This window comes from Homo sapiens, chromosome 9 (assembly GCF_000001405.40).
Source record: "Homo sapiens chromosome 9, GRCh38.p14 Primary Assembly".
Classification (NCBI taxonomy): domain Eukaryota; kingdom Metazoa; phylum Chordata; class Mammalia; order Primates; family Hominidae; genus Homo; species Homo sapiens.
In genome coordinates, this window is record NC_000009.12 from 32,316,727 (window position 1) to 32,338,656 (window position 21,930).

A 21,930-nucleotide genomic window follows, 5' to 3' on the forward strand; every position below is an offset into this window, starting at 1 on the left:
CACGTGGGAATTCTGGGAGCTACAAGATGAGATTTGGGTGAGGATACAGAGCCAAACCATATCAGTATCCTAATGAATCTTCTCTATAAGTCAAGAGGAACACATAGAGGCTAAAGCTTTGATAGTCACTCATGTTAGCCAAGAGAGGAGGATGTCTGGTATTTGGGTCATTTGGTTTTGCCTGTGCTTAGACAAAATTTTGAAGTTGTCTTGTCTCACTTGTTTTTTCTCTCACTCCATTATAGTCAGAGTGCCTTGGTCTGTTGTTGATGTTCTATGAGATCATTTGTGTCCAACAGGCAAACACTATGAACTAGATGTAAATATCAGGCCAGTTTCCTTACGTCAGGAGCTGTTTTTCTCTTTTTCAGTGGTTTTATTCAGATGATGGAGTTGAGGTGAGAACAAGTCCTAATGCTGTTAGTTGTACTTAATATTTTTGATACTTCATACACCTAATAAGAGGCACAAACTTGGAAATATTTTCCTCATAACTAATTTTAAAGAAAAAATGTGTTTCTATCTAAACTAATGAAACAGTTAATTTTCTGTATGCAAGAAATGGTGACCTTTCTCTCACTCTCTCTTCCCCTGGAGAACCTCTAGGGTGTTTCTGTTTACAATAAATACGTAGGGCTTTATTTATTTACTTGGTCTTCTCTAACACTCACAAACATTGATTTATAGCAGTGACCTTATTTAAACAGCAAAACCAAAAAATAATAATAATAATAAGCTTCTCCAAATGAGCATTTCTAAGCCAAGTTTCTTGCCAGAGGGAATTTTTTCCCTTTCAGTTATAATTCTCTCCAAACAAGGTACTGTGGGGGGAAGTCTAAGAAACAGTGTGACCCAGCTCACTGTGGCTTTATTCCAAGCTTCAGTTCCAACCGGGGCTGAGCCACACGATGCAGAGATCAAGAAAAACAAAGGTTCCAGTTCCACTGGAGATGGTAGCTTCTGGGTCTCAGTGATCAACAAAGAGAACAGAGTGCTTTGTGGAAACAGAAATTGAGGCTTTTGCCATCCCCAGCTTACTTTCCAAGTGCTGCTGTTCTGCACTTGCTCGCCATTTTAACCACCTTTTTTTTAATGTTACAACAGTAAGATATAAAGTGTATTTACAAAGCAATCTGTTTATTTAAAAATACATGATATACACCAAATTGCTGAGAGGACATTATTGGTCAATTGAAATGGATACTTTTTATCTTTTTCTATATCTCTATAATCAGCATATGTTACTTCCACAATAAGAGAAAAACAAACACTAAATAGGTCATAATAGAGTTAAGAAAGCAGACTGCATCATACCACCAAATTGAAAACCTAATCTGTCCTTATCTTCTTAAATAAACTCCCTTTTTCACTCTCTCAGCTCAAGGAATCCAAAACAAGAAGAATAAACCGGCAATAATTAAGTCAATTGGGCAAATAAGCCAAAAAAGTCACTTATTTGGAAATTATCTCATATAATTTCATGAATGAGTTGGATACAGAAGACAGCGAAAGACTCAAGTCAGACTACTGTGCCTCCAGGAAAGGGGGCAAAGCTGTGCCATCCCTTCCAAAAGCAGGGAGACAGACAAAGGCAAAGCCTGCAGGTCTGTGAACATGCCCATGTAGTATGAGCGCTGAATGGGCTGGAGAATCCATTCTGCAGTTTTCCATTCCTCTCCCATAACCCACTGCCTAGATCATCGCAGGCCTCTTCTCCGATTCATGGTCAGTTAGTCAGAGCAGCCCTTCCTTCTGGTATCTAAAACATGATTCCATGACAGAGTTTCCAGGAAAAATTTCACAAGTGGCCAGCTCCTGCCTTGTTTCTCTGATTTTGCTTTCCACAGGCCCTTCCAGGTGGACTATCTGATGACATTTACAGCCCCAGGCCCAAGGTAGCAGGGGCAGGAAGTACAGCAGCAGCCTCAGATTTCAAGAAGGTGGTACCTGGACCTGATCCTATTGCTTATGGACTTGGGATCTGCCCTGGGCCCACTGGTAGACCCCTTGGCACAGCTCCCCTTTCTTCCCTTGCTCCACCCCCTGCCCTGAAGGATTGATCCAGACTCTCGGACATGACTTCTGCCTTGGTTTTCCTGCATTACACTCCCGTATCCCCTAGTAATTCCCTAAGCCCAAGGATGCCTAATTAGGGCACAAAGATTATGCTAGTCTCCTCTTGTGGGAGACTAACTCCTCTTTCCTCTCCCTGCCCCTAGCTGGAGACTCAGTTTAAATTGAACTCTCTTTACCCTTTCCAAAGTCAAGCCTTTCACACTGATTTTGACCTGAACTAGAGGTCTCCAACCCTCTATTCTTCTGAATATTCTGCACGGATTGGGAAACTAAAAATCAGACCCACAGCCTCCACACTACAAACCAATGATATGATGCAATTATGTTGCCATTAAAGGAGGGTACAGAGTACATGAAATAAAAAGGAAAGTGGTTTGCTGTGACTGATTTCTACTCAATGTTGGTCCTGTTGATGGTCCTGCATAAATAGGGGGCACATACACAGGAAATAAGATGCCTGCCTGGAAAATACTCACATGTCAATTGTATGAAAAATCAGCTGCCCGTAACAGTCACATTATAAGTATCATTATATATGTTAAAGTTCAAAATATGTGGACCCTTCTATTTCGGAGATGCTCACATCCTCTGCTGCATGGTAAATCACTGTTCCATGGAACTTGCAATTCCTCTCCCTTTTCCTCTTTCCAGGATCATTTTGAGGGTTATGCATTTGCCCTTCAGCAGTGATGAATGGAGTGTTGTGCTAATGCTGGACTCTACCATTATTCATGTCCCCATCCTCTGTCCAGGCCGTTAATTGCAGCATCCTGGAAGTGGAAGCAAAAACTGTATTACAGAGGAAACTTTCATCTTCCTGATTATAATACCTGACAAAAGGCAGGCTTTTCTATTAATCTCAGATACCTTCCACCGGAGAGGCATCCATTCACTCACTGTACATACACAGGGCCCACATCCAGGCATCATCACACAGAAACAGAATATGTGGCTCATGGGATCTATAACTTCGGTCTGAAGAAGCTGAGCTGATAATCATATCACTCCACTGCCACATCCTTAATCAGCCTATTATGGGCATAAATTAAGAGTTTTAGTGAAGAAAATCTGTGTCCCAGAATTTCTGATTGCCAGGACCCAGATGAGCTCTGCTGAATATAAAGTATTCCACCATATTCTAGCTCTCTCATCGCAGCCTATTATAATCCAATTCATGCTTATTCAAAAATGCCCTGAATTTGTCAGAGCCATCTCTTCCCTCCCGCTTTAGCTCTGAAAGCAACACTCAAAAGAGGGTATTCGGTTACACAAATTATATCTAGAGGATATTGACCAAAGATTTATTGTTCAATATGTATAATTAGAATGATTTTTGTCACAATTAATCAAGAGGCAGAACAAGTGACAAGTCCATCAGAGTGCAACAAAAGCATCAATTTGGGTTACAAGACAATCCATAGTTGATCATGGCTTCTATTAAGTCTTAGAGCTACAAAGGTTCTAACTTTGCCATCTGCTACTTCATCAAATGGTTTATAGGAAAGCTTCTAACCTAGAGAAAAACCAATGCAGCTGTGGGCTGCTTGCTTCTATCTTTTTAAATTAAGACTTTTCAAAAAAGTGTATGGCCCAATTCAAGCTGCAAGAAAAAGGTAAATGATTTTATGTAGTATAGTGCCCACAAACCCTGGAATTTATAATTGTAAAAGCTCAACCACAATGTATTTAGAATTGACGGCATAGTAGGCACTGTCCTAGCCACTGGGGATATCTAGATAAAGGAAATATTATAGAACTTGGCCTACTAGCCAATCAGGACATCTTCCCAACTGCTCTCTTTCCAGATAGAGTCAGCAAATCTCCCTCCCAGTTATCAACACTGAAGGGCACTATCCAATATCTGTATAGCTATGGAGTCACTATTAGAGGAGGATAAAATCAGGGTCGTCTCTCCCTTACCTGCCCTGACTCTCCCGGGACCCCCACCTCGTCTTCTGAGTTCACAACGGAGTTCTCTCTAGCCCAAAACCAACTCTTATAACACAGAGAGAAGAGAGTCACAGGTTTGTCCCTAGATGATAACACAGACTAATGCCCCTAAACAGACAACTTCAAGGTTTCTTTAAGTGGCTTAGCTTTTATTTACTAAGTCAGTAAAAAGTCTTTGTAGGTCTAAGACCGAAAAGAAAGCATAATCAACTACAGCTTCAACTGATTCATTTTTAAAGGAGAGTCAGGGTCATAAAGCAAACAGAATTACTCATCGATAGTGCCAGGAACTGACCTGTTTCTGATAACTGGCCCCCTTTTTTGAGAGGTGACTGTATCTGTTTCTTAATACCTGGGGCAAAGTCAGTTACACACCTTGTGATGACAGACAAAAAGAGGCAGCCAGGACAGAAAGACAAACTTCGCATGTTCTCACTCATTTGTGGGAGCTAAAAATTAAAACAGTTGAATTCATGGAGGTAGAGAGCAGAATGATGGTTACCAGAGGCTGGGAGGGTAGCTGGTAGAGGGTAGGGGGACAGTGAGGATGGTTAATGGGTACAAAAATGTAGTTAGATAGAATGAATAAGATCTAGTATTTCACAGCACAACAGGATGACTACAATCAACAATAATTTATTGTACATTTTAAAATAACTAAGCATATAACTGGATTGTTTGTAACACAAAGAAATAAATTCTTGACATAATGAATACTTCATTTACCCTGGTGTGATTATTACACATTTTGTGCCCGTATCAAACTAGCTCATGTACCCCATAAGTATATACATCTACTATGTACCCATAAAAATTAGAAATAAAAAAGTTTAAAGTTTAAAAACTAACAAAAAAGTTAAAATTAAATAAAAGCTTATTGAATAAGATATAAAGGGAAAAAAGGCAGCCAGAATGAGATCCCAATTGGTGGAAAGGGCAATGAACTTTAAACAGTGGTTCCCTATTCTATTCTGCAGTCTTCTTTATGGAAGCCGTATACATGTGTGCATGAAGACAGAGAGAGACCAACAGGAAAGAGAAAGTTAAAACAAGCTTTTAGAGAGTATTTCCCATGAGCATCTCATAGTCTAGTCAGGGAGATGGACAAGTAAGTTTGCAAGAATTGCAAAACAGTGTTTTACACTTCACAATGGAAGTGTCCTGGAGATACCAAGCAGGGAATGGTAAACACTGTTAGATGAAGGCAGAGAAGGCTTCATGAAAGAGGTGATGACTTTTGAAGGATGAGTAGGAAATTCTAGGTGCATTAGGGGATTAAGGGCAATTCAAACTGCATACACTGCACCTGCTTCACTTTGGTGAGTGGCTCTCAAATTTAGCATGCATCAAAGTCACTTGGAGAGTTTATTAAAGCACAGATTACTGGGCCTCATCCCCAGAGTTTCATATTGAATAGGTCTGAAGTGGGCCCACAAATCTGATTTTCTAAAAAGTTGGCAGGTGATGTTGAAGCTGAGAACTGCTGGCTTAGGTGCACTGTGAGGAAAAATTAGTGGAGAAAGATACTCTGAGAAATAGGCAGGGCTGATTATAAGGGAAATATAGACACTGTAATCTGGACAGTGGGACCCATTGACAGGTTCTAAGCAGTAGAGTGCAATAATCACATGTGAGTTATAAGAGGGCAACTCTGATGGAAGTGTGGAGGGAAAGGGTGGTTATAACACAGTACCAGTCAGCCAGTCAGGAAATGATGAAGTCATAACAAAGGCCCAGGGGGAGCAGTAGAAATATAGAGGATGGATCTAAGATTACTTATGCAAAAACAAAAACAAAACCCAGTCTCTTGAGCTATGTTCTAAAAGGAGGACAGTAAATCAGCTGTTTCCCTTGCCTCTAGAAACTGTTATTTGTTCTCTTGCCTTATTAAAATAAATATGCACGATATACTTCTGGGAAAGGGCACAGATTTTAGTAATGTTTACTTAACAACCATCATTTGTTCATTCTTTTTTCCAAGGAAAAGGGAAATACCCTTATTTGGTGAAGCAAGCGTGTCCCCATGGGTTTTCCATATGCATCTCTGTTGCCCACGAAGCGCTGGACTAAGCATGCCTGGGAAAAGAAAGGGGTAGGTTGGGGGAAGCCTGCGTATTCATAGCTCTAGGAGAAGCAGACCAGGAAGGCCGGAGTAGCATAGGGAAGGGATATAGAGAGGGCGAGAGGAAGGGCAGAAGCAACAAAAGCTGTGCACCTGCAAGGATGGAATAAGGATTTCTAGGAAGCCCTAGAAACAGCTGGTAGGTGATTGAATTTCCTGCAGCAATATTCTAGATGAGGGGCATTTACAAGATCAGCAATAATGTTCATAAAAACTAACATTTATTGATGCTTCCTATTTTAGCCTGGGTTCCTCAAAAGCAGAGCCTGAGACAAAGGCTCACATGGTGATGACTTATTTGAGAATGGAACCTGAGGGAGCAGGAATGCAGAACAGGGAAGTAGTTTAGCAAAGCAGGGAAAGGCAGGACCTTATGAGACACTTCTCAGAATCATCCATCCAGGAAAGAAAGGGGATAGGGTTCATCCATTGGTTGCCTTCACCACTGGTCACGGGCTGCCCAGAAAGATATTAAATCTCTTGCATTTCTGAGTTGCACACACAGGAGTGCCCACTGCAGGTGTCAGAACATCCCTGAGAAGAAAGTGAGAATGTTAGGGAGCTGTCAGGTTGCATCTGTATGAAGCAGGCCAGGCCTGTATGGAACAGGTGATACCATGTTGCACCGGAGTTGAGGCCGCCGCAAGAATGTGTGATGGTACATGAGGTATCCGGTGCACTTGCTGTGGGCCAGCTCCTAGGCTAAGGGTTTTACATACATTATTCCACATAATCCATACAACAGCCCTACAAAGCAGATGTTGCTCTCCCCACCCTGCAGAAGAGGAAATGAGGGTTAGAGGACCAAAATGAGACAGCTTGGAAGTGGCAGGGTGAAAACTTAAATCCACTTCTTTCTGGACTCAAAGCCTGTGCTTAACATAACATTAAACTGTACTCAAGACAAGAATCTAGATAATAATTCAGAAAGTCTTTTTAGGAAGCCATATCAACAGACTTTAAGTGCCTATTAATTTTATTTCTATGCTGGAAATCTAACTTAAGGAAATAATCAGAAATGCACATAAATATTGATGTTTATTACAGTCTTCTTTTTAAGAGCCAGGATCTCACTAGGTTGCCCAGGCTCACCTCAAATTCCAGGTTCAAATAATCCTCTCAGCGATAGTCAGAATTATAGATGTGCACCTCTACACCCGGACTCCAGTCTTTTTAATAATGAATTAGATAGATAGATGACAGATGATAGATGATTGATAGATTGATAGATAGATAGATAGATAGATGGATGGATAAGATAGATGTGTGTGGGCACATATACATATATAATGGAATATTGTGCAATTATTTTAAATGGTTATAATTACAAATATAATAATATAAATAAGTACTTGTGACATGAGGTTAAGAAAAAATATAGCCTACAGAATATACAGTATGATCTCACATAGAAAAAATGACTGAAAGAAAAAGTTAGAAATGTTTAGGTGGTGGCAAGATAATCATAATATTTTAAATTTTTTTCTTTATATTTCTCAATATTGTCTAAATTTTCTACAAAAATATGTATTACTTTTATAATTAGAGACATTTGTTATTTTATTTTAATGGGCAGTGGGGTGCAGTGACTGTTACTCACCAGGGCTCCTCACTGGTTCCCTAGGATACCTTTCAGCTGGGTTGAATGGTCTGTCCCCTGCACCCATCACTACAGTCACTGCTGTCACTGATAAAGAGTCCTTTGCAGCTGAGAGAGGGCTTCATGATACTTCACAAAAAAAGTCTTTTTCAAAACACTCTGCTTGGAGCCTGGAACTGTTTCTCTACTTCTGGGCACCACAGACATCTCTGCTACCCCACGTTGAGCATGACCCCAGTCTGGCCACTACTCTTTGTGTCCAAGGGAGGGCTAATAGTACTGGAATGCTTGTGCTTGAGAAGATCTTAACTGGTGGCAGCCCCCTCAGCTCTGGCTTGTCAACATGAGCTTTCTGTCCTATCTGTCCTAGGCGAGACTGAAACTTTTTCTCCTGACTTCCCTGACTTCCCAGGAGTCTGTCTGGTACCTAGAGGAGAAGGTGAGAAATGAAGAAGAAAATGCTGCCCAATTTCCTTCATTTCCAATTGAGAGACTCTTTCAAGATTTCCCATCTCTGAATTTGCCAAGTAAGTTTCTCCTTATTATAATAATTATTATTATCATCATTATTATTATTTTGAAATGGAGTATCGCTCTTGTTGCCCAGGCTGGAGTGCAATGGCACAATCTTGGCTCACTGCAACCTCCACCTCCCGGGTTCAAGCAATTCTCCTGCCTCAGCCTCCAAAGTAGCTGGGATTACAGGCATGTACCACCATGCCCAGCTAATTTTGTATTTTCAGTAGAGACAGGGTTTCTCCATGTTGGTCAGGCTGATCTCGAACTCCTGACCTCAGGTGATCCACTCACCTCGGCCTCCCAAAGTGCTGGGATTACAGGCATGAGCCACCACGCCCACCTTCTCATTATTTTTTTGTAGAGATGGAGTGTCTCTCTTGGTATATCTCTCTCATACGTGCTGTGTGACCATCTGCACCATCATTTTATCTTTGAAGACTACTCGCCTCCTGGGAATAATTCCTGGAGACCTAATACTAGAACACTGCCATACTTGGTCAGAATTGTCATGGCCCAGTGCTTGACAGTGACATTTCAAAAAGCCACATGGTCCCCTTTTGTCCTTAAATAAACAGTCTGCAGTATTTCCGGGAAAACAGTGTTGCTTGGAACAATGTCCAATAGAGGGGAAACAAGGCTGTAAATTCTGGCTATAACCTAAAGTACATTTGCAGTTCTATCTCACTGCATTATCAGGCATCAAAAGATACTTTGACAAGGGAGTGAAGTGGAGGAAACCTTGCAATCAATGGCTGTTGGTAGCTGCATAGCATATTTTAAACAGAATTCCTATGTTTAGAAAATTTCATACACTATTAGACCTCCTCCTTCCCAAAGGAGATATGAGACTGAACTATCATTTGCAGTGATATACTGCTAAATATTTCACAATCACCTTTCCCGGGGAAGAAAAAAGCCCTAGTTTGGAAATTGCATTTTCCAGTTTCCGTGGTGTAAATATAGCTATACCTCAGGCATATTGCAGGTTTGGTTCCAGACCACCACAGTAAAACAAATATTGTAACAAAGCAAGTCACATGAATTTTTTGGTTTTGCAGTGTGTATAAAAGTTATGTTTATACTATATAGTAGTCTATTAAGTGTGCAATAGCATTATGTCTTTAAAAAACAATGTGTATACCTTAATTTAAAATTACTTTATTGCTAAAAAATGGTAATGATCATCTGAGCCTTCAGCAAGTCATAACCTTTTGCTGGTGGAGGGTCTTGCCTCATTGTTGATGACTGCTAACTGATCAGGCTGGTGGTTGCTGAAGGTTGGGAAGGCTATGGCAATTTCTTGCAATAAGACAACTATGAAGTTTGCGGCATCAATTGACTCATCCTTTCATGAAAGATTTATCTGTGGTACGCAATGCTGTTTGATTGCATTTTATTTACAGCACAACTTCTTTTACTTCTTTTGAAACTGGAGTCAATCCTCTCAAATCCTGCCACTGCTTTATCAACTAAGTTTATGTAATATTTGAAATACTTTGCCATTATTTCAACATTGTTCACAGAATCTTCACCAGGAATAGATTCTATCTCAAGAAACCACTTTCTTTGCTCATATGTAAGAAGCAACTCCTCACTCATTACAGTTTGACCATGAGATTGCAGCAATTCAGTCACATCTTTAGGCTACCCTTCTAGTTTTCTTGCTGTTTCCACTACATCTGTGGTTACTTCTCCCAAAGAAGTCTTGAATCCCTCAAACTCATCCATAAAGATTGGAATTAACTTCTTCCAAACTCATGTTAACATTGATATTTTCACCTCCTAGCCTCGATTATGAATGTTCTCAATGGCATCTGGAATGGTGAATCCTTTCCAGAAGCTTTTCCATTTAGTTTGCCCAGATTCATCAGAGGAATCACTATGGCAGCTGTAGCCTTACAAAATGTATTTATTAAATAATAATATTTGAAAGTCAAAATTTCTCCTTGATCCATAGACTACATAATGAATGTTGTCTTTGCAGGCATAAAAACATTAATCTCCTGTGCATCTCCATCGGAGCTCTTGAGTGAACAGGTATATTGTCAATGAGCAGCAACATTTTGTAAAGAATCCTTTTTTCTGAGCAGTAGGTATCAATAGTGGGATTAAAATATGCAACAAACCATACTATAAACAGATATGCTATCATCCAGGTCTTGTTGTTCCATTTATACAGCATAGGCAGAGTAGATTTAGCATAATTATTAAGGGTCCTAGGATATTCAGAATGATAAATGAGCATTTAAGCATCAACTTAAGGTCACCAGCTGCATTATACCTTAACAAGAGAATCAGCCTATTTTTTGAAGCTTCGAAGTCAGACATTGACTTCTCCTCTCTAGCTGTAAAATTTCTAGAGAGCATCTTCTTCCAATAGAGGGCTGTTTGGTTTGTACTGAAAATCTATTTTTTAGTGAAGCCACCTTCACCAATGATCTTAGCCAGATCTTCTGGATAACTTGCTGCAGCTTCTACATTAGCATTTGCTGCTTCATCTTGCACTTTCATGTTACGGAAACAACTCATTAACTAATCTCTGTTAGCCTCAAACTTTTCTTGTGCAGCTTCCTCACCCCTCTCAGCCTCATTAAATTGAAGAGAGTTCGAGTCTTTCTCCAGATTAGGCTTTGGCTTAAGGAACATTATGGCTGGTTTAATCTTCTATCCCAGCCACTCATACTTTCTCCATATCAGCAATAAGGCTGTTTTGCTTTCTGATCAGTCGTGTGTTCATTGGAGTAGCACTTTTAAATTCTTTCAATAATGTTTCATTTGCATTCACAACTTGGCTGTGTGGTGCAAGAGGCATAGCTTTCAGCCTGCCTTGGCTTTTGACATGCCTTTCTCACTAAGCTTAATCACTTCTAGCTTTTGATTTAAAGTGAGAGACATGAGCCTCTTCCTTTCACTTGAACAGTTAGAGGCCATCGTAAAGTTACTCATTAGCCTAATTTTAATACTGTTCTGTCTCAGGGAATACAAAGGCACAGTTCGTGGTGCCCGAAAATAATTACAATGGTAGCATTAAAGATCACTGAACACAGATCACTACAGCAGATATGATAATGAAAAAGTTTGAAATATTGTGAGAATTATCAAAATGTGACACAGAGACATGAAGTAAGCACACGCTGTTGGAAAAATGGCACCAACGGTCTTGCTGGATATAGGGTTGCCACAAATCTTCAATCCGTAGAAAATACAATATCTGCAAAACACAATAAAGTAAAAGACAATAAAATAAGGTACACCTACACTCCTACCATGGCCTATGTCAAGTTTCCAACAGTTTAAAACTGGCTTTTAAAATTCCTGAAACTGGGGTCTTCCAATTCCAAAATGGCATCACAGATGCAACTCCAACACACACACACACACAGAAAACCCAAAATAAATATACAGCACTGAAATTATCATCAACAATATCCCAGAACTAAAATATGAGGATGAATTGGTTCCCAGGGCCACAAAGAAGCAAAAAAATGACAAGAAGACAGTAAGAAAATCAGATTTCCATATCCTGAAATCACTCACCCCAATCTGCCTGGCATCAAGTACGTAGAAAATTTCCCTTTACACAGTTTATACACTGGAAAAAGTGAGATTAAAGTGGAGAACCAGCTTCGCCACCATCTTGGGTTCCCTGGCAAGAGACCCATTCCTGACTCAACCCATGGGAAACATCATGAGTGACTAAAGGGAAAAAATATCCCTGAGGAAAGCCAGAGAGAAAGAGTAGAGATGGAACTACCATTTCCAGCCCTGGAAACTCTCCTCTGTAACTCTTCCAAAGAAGATGCCAAATCAGACTGGCTGTTCAGCAGCACCGTGCTGTAGGAGGCATGTTCTGCAGGCCCCCTGGGCATGAATCTCCAGACAGCCTTTCCACAGGGCTGAGCTATCCCCTTTGGGACCTCCCCGATTTGGGACAGGCAGGCACTGATCAGTTGTTTGAGCCGAGGCAAAATTGACACAAAAACCGTTAGCATTTGTACACACCAACAGCAAATGATCTGAAAAAGAAATCCAGAAAGCAATGTTATTTCCAATAGCTACAAATAATATAAAACACCTAGGAATCAAGTCAACCAAAGAAGTGAAAGATCTATACAAGAAAAATTATAAACCACTGATGAAAGAAATTGAAGAGGACACCAAAAACATGGAAAAATATTCCATGCTCATGGACTGAAATAATTTAAATTGTTAAAATGACAATACTACTCAAAGCAATTTACAGATTCAAAGCAATCTCTATCAAAATACCAATAACATTCTTCACAGAAATAGAAAAACAATCCTAATATTTATATGGAACCATAAAAACCCTGAATAGCCAAAAATAAAAAAATTCTGAGCAAAAAGAATAAAGGCACAGGCATCACACTATCTGACTTCAAAATATCCTACAAAGCTATAGTAACCAAATCAGCATGGTACTGGCACAAGAACAACACATAGACCAATGGAATAGAATAAAGTACTCAGATATAAATCCACAAATTTATAGCCAACTCATTTCAACAAAGGCACCAAAATCATACAATAGGGAAGGGGGAGTCTCTTCAATAAATGATGCTGGGAAAACCAATATCGTATGCCAAAGAATAAAATTAGACCCTATCTCTCACCACATGCAAATATCAAATCAAAATGATTCAATATTTATATCTAAGAACTCAAATGTGAAACTACTGTAAGAAAATGTTTGGGAAATGCTCCATAGCATTGGTCTTGATAAAGACTTTTTGAGTAAGACCTCAAAAGCCCAGGCAACTGAAGCAAAAACAGAAAAACAGGATTACGTCAAGCAAAAGAACTTCTGCACAGCAAAAAAATAATCAACAAAGTGAAGAGACAATCCACAAAATGAATAAAAACATCTTCAAACTATCCATCTGACAAAAGATTAAAAACTAGAATATATAAGGAACTCAAACAATTCAATAGCAAAAAATAATAACCTGATTTGAAAATAGGCAAAAGATCTGAATAGACATTTCTCAAAAGACACATAAATGGCCAACAGATATATGAAAAAATGTTCAACATCACTAATCATCAGAAAAATTCAAAACAAAACTACAGAGAGATATCACCTTACCACAATTAGAATAGCTTTGGACAAAAAGACAGGAAATAATAGGTGCTGGCAAGGATGTAGAGAAAAGGGAACTCTCATACAATGTTGGTGGGAATGTAAATTAGTACAGCCACTATAGAAAACAGTATGGAAATTCCTCAAAAATCTAAATATAGAGTTATGACATAAGCCAGCAATTCTACTGCTAGGTATACACCCAAAAGAAAGTAAATCAATATAATAAAAAGATATCGGCACTCCCACATTTATTGCAGCACTATTCACAATAGCCAAAATATGAATTCAACCAAGGTGCCCATCAATGGATAAATGGTTAGAGAAATGTGGTATATATATACACAATGGAATATTATTCAGACATAAAAAAGAATGAAATTCTGTAATTTGCAGCAGCATGGATGAAACCCAAGGTCATTATGTTACGCGAACTAAGCCAAGCCCAGAAAGACAAATATCACATGTTCTCACTCATATTGGGAGCTAAAAAATAGTGGATCTCATGAAGATACCGAGTAGATTGGTGTTTTCCAGAGGCCGAGATAGTATGGGGAAGGAGGGGATGAAGAGAAGTTGGTTTGTGGGTACAGATATACAGTAGCTAGAAGAAATAAGATCTGGTGTTCAATGGATCATCGGCGTGACTATAGTTAACATTAATCTATTGTACATTTCAATAGCTAAAAGAGAATAATTCCAATCTTCCTAAAGAAAAGATAAATATTTAAGGTAATAGATGTCCCAATTACCCTGATTTGATTATATGAATGTATCAAATGAATGTACAAATTACCACATGTACCCCTAAAATATGTACATCTTTTATGTATCAATAAAAGCATAAACAAAAATTAAAATTAAAAAAATAAAGTATATGAAACTTAACAATCAACTCTCATGACCTGGTTTGAGCCAGCTTCAATATACAGCTGGAAAGACATGTGACTTAGATTCTACAATCAGATAAACCTATAATGGAACTTCCCACAGCAACGCAGGAGGGTTGTCCCTGAAACAGGCCTGAGATGCATTTGGGCATTGTTCCTGATCTCAGAGTCTCCTGGCCTACCTGGAGGTTTTGTAAACTTTTTTAAATTTTTTTAACAAATGCCTCTTATGCTTTGACTTAAGACTTAGTAGAGTGGATGATCTTACTTGCAAAGAAGAACTCTGGTCAATTATAATGAGGATCTTTCTGTTTCAGACAGAGAGAGGTACTTGTACGCAGAATTAAATATTGCCTCCACTGAGCCTGTCTTTAAAGTTTAGGATTTCCCTACGAGCGTGAATTCAGGTTTCATCCAATCCCGTGTGTTCCCCACTGATAACAGTGTTAGGCAAAAACAACCTCATACTCAGATTTCTCTGCAACTCAAGATAAATGAAGGGTGTGGCTTTACTGTGTAATGAAGTGTCTAACAAGAGTCTCAAAAAGACTTGGAAAGAGTGGGGAGTAATTCCCTCCACTTCAGTGGTGCCAGCTCTCACATTCATTAAAGAGGCTGAAAAACTCTGAAGACAACAGAGGGACCAGGAAGGACATCCATCATGGACACTTTGATAACCTCTCCCGAAAAGTTGGTTCCACAAACTTTACCTTAGATATTGTTCCAGGACTTTCTGGACCACCTGCCTCTAAGATACCTGAAATGCTTGTTTAAAATTATTTCTGCCTTGCCCAGCCTCCTGAGTCATAATACCCAGAGTCAAGGAATATACATTTCAACTTGTGCTTAAATTTTTTAAGAATCAAGCGTCTTTATAACATCACAGAAAAGGGCTCTCTACCGCCCAGCACACCCAAATACATACACACACAAACACACACACACACACACACGCGTATATGTTTTATATATATGCACACACAAATTATATATATTTAAGTATATGTAAGTATATATTTATATATAAATGCACACATACAGAAAATCTCGTGTATATACAGGTATATAGGTATATACAGGTATATAGGTATATACAGAAATTTTTATTCTACAAAGTCTAGATATATAGAATTTTATATAATCTACATATACAGAAATTTCTATATATAGAAAATTATGTGTGTGTGTATATATGTATGTTTATACGTACCCACACAGAAAATCATAGCTATATAACACAAATTACATGTTTAGGCATGCCAGACATGACATTATTATGACAGGTTTAATAAAAAGTTTTAACCTATGGTTTTGAATTAAAAATAAAACTCTCCACAGTGCCTTGGAGATGTGAGAAGGAGTTGAGAGGAGCCCAGTCTATTTGGCTGGGAGTCACCATCTTCTCCCATTTTTCTCTCCATATTTAAAAGCTTCCTGGCTCCAAGGGGGTTTGTCCCCAGGTAGTTCTTTAAAGAGTGCTCTACCGAAGCAGCTTCTAAATGCTGCTGCTTCTTATCATTCATGGAAGATATAGTGCAATTAAAAATAATAATAGCCAACCTTTAAGGAGGTCTGTTTGCAAGGCACCATGCTAAGCACTTTGAATGGATTCCTTCAGTTAATCCTTACAACTATTTGATGGAGGAATCATCATTATTCTCATTCTATAAGTAAGGAAAGCAGATGTAAGCTAATTATCCAAGTTCTCCGCAAGTTAGTGGCAGAAGCAGAATATGGTTGGTGAGAGTCTGACTCCAGAGCCTACACTCTGAAGTTCTGCACCACACTGATAGTGCCTGGCAGTAGTCAGGTCAAAGATAGAGGAGGGAAATGAAAGGTGCTGCAGCAAGCTGTCTGACATATGCATAAGGATCTGGAAGAAACCCCTTGACTCAGAAAATCTTGCAATGTTTCACAAGAGGCTGGGTTTCCTCATTAGCTGATGGGGACTAGTCTGTGACATATGGATGGTGGCAGTGTCTATCACTCCACCCACAGTTTGTGGCCTGAAGAGTTATAAGCCATATATGTATAATTAAGTGGCTACAGTTCTTATTACAGTGGATGGATTCTGTCGGTGCTATCTGATTCTTTTGTTGTCTTCATTAAAACCCAAGTGAAAGAACACTTCCTAGGGTTTCTACTGAACAGAGTGGACAATGGGTGCTTGCTGACTGAATTCTACCTCCTCAACTGCCTTGCTTCTGTTTTTTATTTTACTTATTTTTATTTCTCCAAATTTGTTATTTATCAGGAGTGACTGAAATACAAAATATAATTGAGTCCCATCATCATCATCATGGAAATGGCTTTAAGAGAAAACTGGTTAGATGAATATTATTGCTTCCCATTTTCAACCAGTAAATAGTTCCCACTGATAAACTGACAGCCAGGAGTCTGTTAAGAATGCTCAAGATATGTTATATAATACAACATGCCTGCTCACAGGGGGAAAAAATCCTAGGAAATAACTTATGTGTACTTTTTGATTTCATCACACAAGACAAGCACAAAAGCACCACCCATGCCTCTGAGGACATTGGACCATGCACCCTTGAAAAAAGCTTTGTCTCCTTCATCACGAGCAATCTTCCTCCAGCAGTCAAGTGTGCCTGTGTACATGATGTCAGTTGCTTTGAGTTCTGACTGCATCATCATGCAGCGGCAAACAGTGTCAAATGGATAGGAAGTCAACCCAGCAAATGGAAGTGATGGACTGTGCCATCATCCAGCTGATGACGATGCGAGTGTTCTTGGGATCTGGAAGCATTCCCTTTACAGTGCCATAGATACTGAAGTAGACAGCTTGGTAGATGACAATACCCTGCACAGGCACGTTAAAGCCTTGGTACAGGCCCTTAATCCCATCCGATTTGTAGATCTTAACCAGGCAGTCATCGAGATCTCTGAATCCCCTTTCGCCTCCAGGTCTACCCACATCGGCTGCTAGAAAGGTATGGGCAAAACCAAAAGGGTACACAAAACATAAGGATGTGGCCCCAGCGGCACTGCCCGATGCCAGATTCCCTGCAAAGTCATGCCAAAACTGGGTCTTCTTGTCCACACCACCCAGGAAGATCTGCTTGTTTTTATCTTTGAAGGTGAAGTTGAGAGCCTGGGTGGGGAATTATCTGATGACATTGGCCAGGTTACCGCGCCAGAAGGATAGGACTCCCTGCTCCTTGGGAATACGGACCACACAGTCTATAATGCCTTTGTATTGCTTATCTGTGGTGATTTGCTTGCTGGCATGCTGCACCTGCAGCAGCAGCTTGACCCCCTCGATGGGCACTACTGCCATCTTGGGGATGGCCACAGCGACACCACCTGCCAGGAAGTCCTCAGCGAAGGACAGAGTGGTATGTGTCATGTTGAAAGGAAAGAGGAGGCAGGTGGCTAAGGGATGGGACTGGGATGGGAACTGGCTTTGACTCCGGGGCTGTGGGGCCTGTCTTGCTTTTTGCAGATTTCAAAGGAACTAAAGCCCTTCCCTTAAAGTAATGCATCATTGGTCTAGGTTCATATCCTAACTCTACCACACAAGCTCCGCAACCTCAGGCAAGCTAGCTGACATCTCTGAACCTCAGTTGTTGTTGTTGTTTCTGCATTTTTTTTATCTATAAAAAGATGAACATTCTTAACTCACAGGAATGAAGAGGAAATGAAAACATTTAGCAAAAGTCCTGGCAGAGTAAATACTCAATGAATAGCAACTGCTTGAATTTTTACAAAAACCCTCATCTCTTCCTAAATCATTTATTCATTAATTATTTTTACATAAGTCCCTTTGACAAACTTTTCCAAGTCCTGTGCTTTTGCTTTGTGTACACATATCCTGACAGGGACACTGACAGACAGAGGACATGTGTATATGTTGTTAGACCTGGGCTCACTTTCCCTGCAAAAGCAATGTCTGGAAGATGCCACCCCACCTAGTGCAGTTTGCACAGTGATGCCTACTGTAAGTGAGCCCCAAAGTCTGGAGAGTCAAGCTATCTCTTCCTCCATGCTCTTTATCTTTTCTCTCCAACAAGCAAGATCATGGTTTCTTTTCACATGGCAATAAATAGAAGCAGAAAGTTTCTCCTTCATGTTTTGCCTCCCATCCCTCTGTCATCTGTGCACAGGCTGCCTGGTTCTGGGCATCTCTCTACATCGTGTTATCTTGAGACTCTGTGCATAACAGAGAATAGCAAATCAAATCCACAACCCAAAGCCACACTGAGGAGTAAAACAAACTCAGATAAAAGGCCATGCCTATTCTGACAAATGAGGAGTGCCAGCCCCATCAGCTAAGGTAAGGCTGAGTGACGCCTTTCTGAAGAAATGTCAGGATTTCATTTTCCAGCTTGCCCGCAGTGCATCTCAGGTTGACATCTTTCATGTATTTTTGACATTTACTCATATGAATAAATGGATGTTTGATCTTTCTGGATTTCCTTCTCAGTGACCAGGAAAAGAAAAATGTAAATGCATCATTTTAAGCCCTCAAACCACTGGTTGTAACTGCAAGACCAATAAGGAAACAGACTTTTTACTCTCTTCTTTAACCGATTGATATGTTTACCATTTATTATGTCTTATATGTGTAGCTGCAAGCTCCCTGCCCTCAAATGTCATGGACAAAGCAGTTTCTGAATCTCAGCAATCCTGACATTCAGAGAGGGAGAATTCTTTGTTGTGGAGAGCCATCTGTGCATTGTAGGATGTTTGGCAACTCCATAGCCTCTACCCACTAGCTGCCAGCACCACCCTCTACTCGCATGTGCCAAACAAAAATATTTCCAAACATTGCCAAACATCCAAAGTGGGGCAAAATTGCCCCTGGCTGAAAACCACTAAACTAGATAAACATGTGGGTAAATACCTATAATACAATGAGAAGGTGGTAAAAGATGAGACGTATCAAGTGCTACAAAAGGAAAAACTTGCTCCGCCAGGGAAAGTGAGGAAGACTTCACAGAGGAAATGGCAACTGAGCTACATTTAGAGCTGTTGTTTTTTGAAAATAATTCCTTATTTTGAACTCAAATTAGCCTTCTTACATAACTATTGACTCTTGGTCTAGGCTTTGGTTAATAGTTGTGTATTAGTTAGTTTTAGATAATAGTTGTGTAAAAAGGCAAATATGAGTTCAAAATAAGGAGTTATTCCCAGTCTTGATTTAGACTTTCTCATTTGATTCTTTGAAGTTAATAAATGCAAAAACCAACACTCTACACAAGTATTTCCCAGCTCACACGATACTGTCTGAATTCACCGCTATGGACTCTGGTCTTAAAGGAAAGAAGAATAAGGGAAGAGGTAAATGGGTGAGCTTCAGCCACTATCAATGAATAGGAGGTCAAAGAAGGGAAAGCAAGCACTGGAAACATATGAACAATATCCTCTATCTCTAAGCAGAAGCATCCATTTTTACATTAAAAACAAAAGTCTGGACAAGAACTTTCACAGTGTGGTATCTTTTTCTACTGTGAAATGAGACAAAAGTGAGCTGTAACAGTTGAGTTTTTGATATTTCATTAGTTTAGCCTACTGCATTCAACACTTACCCAGAGGCCCTATACGTGCAACCACTGCTGTTGACCAGTGTTGTTTCCTTTGTTCTCCAGGTCTAAGCTGTTTGCTCCTTTCCAGGTTAAGAAAAGTTCCAGCTGAAACAACAGGTTCTCAGATACTCACTGCTGCAGACCAGTCATGCTAGACAACCACACACTGTTATTGCCTCATCTCTGCAGAGGTATGTAGGCACCCAGGAGCCCATTTATTTCTCATTGACTTTTAATGCTGATAAACACACAAGTAAGAATGAAGGGACTGGAGAGAAGTAATTCTAGTATGGTAGAGTAAGAACCTCTAAAAATTCATTGCTCCATAAAAGCAATAAGAACGCTAGTCCAAAAAAATAGTTAAAATTAAAATTAACTTTCTTAGAGCTCTACAAATTAACTAAAGGCTTACAAGGATCCAAGAAGCATTTATTCAAGAAAAGTGGCTGAATCTCACTTAGAAAGAGCGAGCTTTGTGGTGTTTGAATTTATCTAGTCTACTCTCCCCAGCTCTGTAATAGCCTTGAAAATAGGCAGCCTTAGAAACTATAAACACCAGCAGCTTAACAGCCACCAGAGAGGAAAGAACAGGTTTAGAGCTTCCTAAAATGCCACAGAGAATTGCCACTATTTGACCTACCTGAAAGCTCTCTGGAAAAGCCTCATTTGCATCTAATTAAACTTAAGAACTGCACAGCAAAAGAAACTATTAACAGAGTAAATGGACAACATACAGAATGGGAGAAAATATTTACAAACTATGCATCTGACAAAGGTCTAATATCCAATATCTATAAGAAAATTAAACAAATTAACAAGGAAAAAACAAACAACCCCATTAAAAAGTGGGCAAAGAACATGAACAGACACTTTTCAAAAGAAGATTCCATGCAGCCAACAAGCATATAAACAAACGCTCAGTATCACTGATCATTAGAGAAATGCAAATCAATACCACAATGAGATATCACCTCACACCAATCAGAATTGCTATTACTGAAAAGTCAAAAAATAACAGATGCTGACAAGGTTGCAGAGAAAGGGGAATGCTAATACACTATTGGTGAGAGTGTAAATTAGCTCAATCATTGGGGAAAGCAGTGGCAATTTCTCAAAGAGCTAAAAACGGAACTACCATTCAACCCAGCAATCCCATTACTGAGTATATACCCAAAGGAATATACATTGTTCTGTCATAAAGACACATGCATGCATATGTTCACTGCAGAACTATTTACAATAGCGAAGACATGGAATCAACCTAAGTGCCCATCAGTAACAGATTGGATAAAGAAAATGTGGTACATATACACCAAGGAATACTGTGAAGCCATAAAAAAGAATGAGATCATGTCTTTTGCAGACACATGAATTGAGCTGGAGGCCATTATTCTTAGCAAACTAATGGAGGAACAAAACACCAAATACCACATGTTCTAACTTATAAGTGGGAACTAATTGATGAGAACTCATGGACACAAAGAAGGTAACAATAGACGCTGAGGCCTACTTGAGGGTGGAGGGTGGGAGGAGGGAAAAGGTCAGAAAAAATAATTATTGGGTACTAGGCTTAGTACCTGGGTGACAAAATAATCTGTACAACAAACCCCTGTGACATGAGTTTACCTATATAACAAACCTGCACATGTACTCCTGAGCCTAAAATAACAGTTAAGGAAAAGAAATGAAAAGCCCCATTCATAGGGTTTCTCTTTATTTGACCTGACTCAGAGTCACTCAATAAGAAAAAGTCTATTCTCAGTGCATTTGTCAAAAACAGCCACAATTGCTTAACATCAAGCTGCCAGAGGCTGTGAAACTAATTCAGTCAAAAAAAAAAAAAAAAAAAAAAAAAAAGATGGCCAAAAACCTTGAAACAAAAATCTGGTAATAAAATGTCTATAAGGAGCTTTTAAAAGCTACAAGATATTCCTGGGGATCTAGAAGGCTACACACATAGGCAGGGCCGGGCACATTCCCAGGAAATACCTGAGAAGACCCTAACCTTCCACCTCTGGCTGAGTGGGAGGCTCTGAGCAAGCAGGCAGTGAAAGCTAAGGTAGGGTTGCAAACTGCTAAGCACTGAAAGTGTGCCCCAAAGCATATACAGAAGGGTGGAAGAT

At 39.6% G+C, this 21,930-nt stretch overlaps 1 long non-coding RNA gene and 1 pseudogene across 4 annotated transcripts in view, besides 1 other annotated feature; both read right to left on the reverse strand.

The window, feature by feature from the left end:
* The window catches only part of LOC107987059 (uncharacterized), a 69,745-nt gene that overhangs the window by 34,447 nt on the left and 13,368 nt on the right, over nt 1-21,930 (reverse strand). For 2 of the 4 annotated variants that reach the window (XR_007061447.1, XR_007061446.1), the window contains exon 2: nt 1,117-2,846. This is a non-coding gene — a long non-coding RNA (uncharacterized LOC107987059). Of the gene's footprint in view, nt 1-1,116; nt 2,847-7,748; nt 11,391-21,930 lie in introns of those variants that run through there. The other 2 variants (XR_007061445.1, XR_001746645.2) reach the window with 2 other exon arrangements.
* Nucleotides 14,622-14,822: a silencer, noted in NCBI's record as "peak7216 fragment used in MPRA reporter construct". NCBI's record gives its function as "represses an SCP1 promoter by STARR-seq MPRAs in K562 erythroleukemia cells {active_cell/tissue: K562}" and the evidence as "EXISTENCE:reporter gene assay evidence [ECO:0000049][PMID:32103011]".
* Nucleotides 16,469-17,705, reverse strand: SLC25A5P8 (solute carrier family 25 member 5 pseudogene 8; annotated as a pseudogene).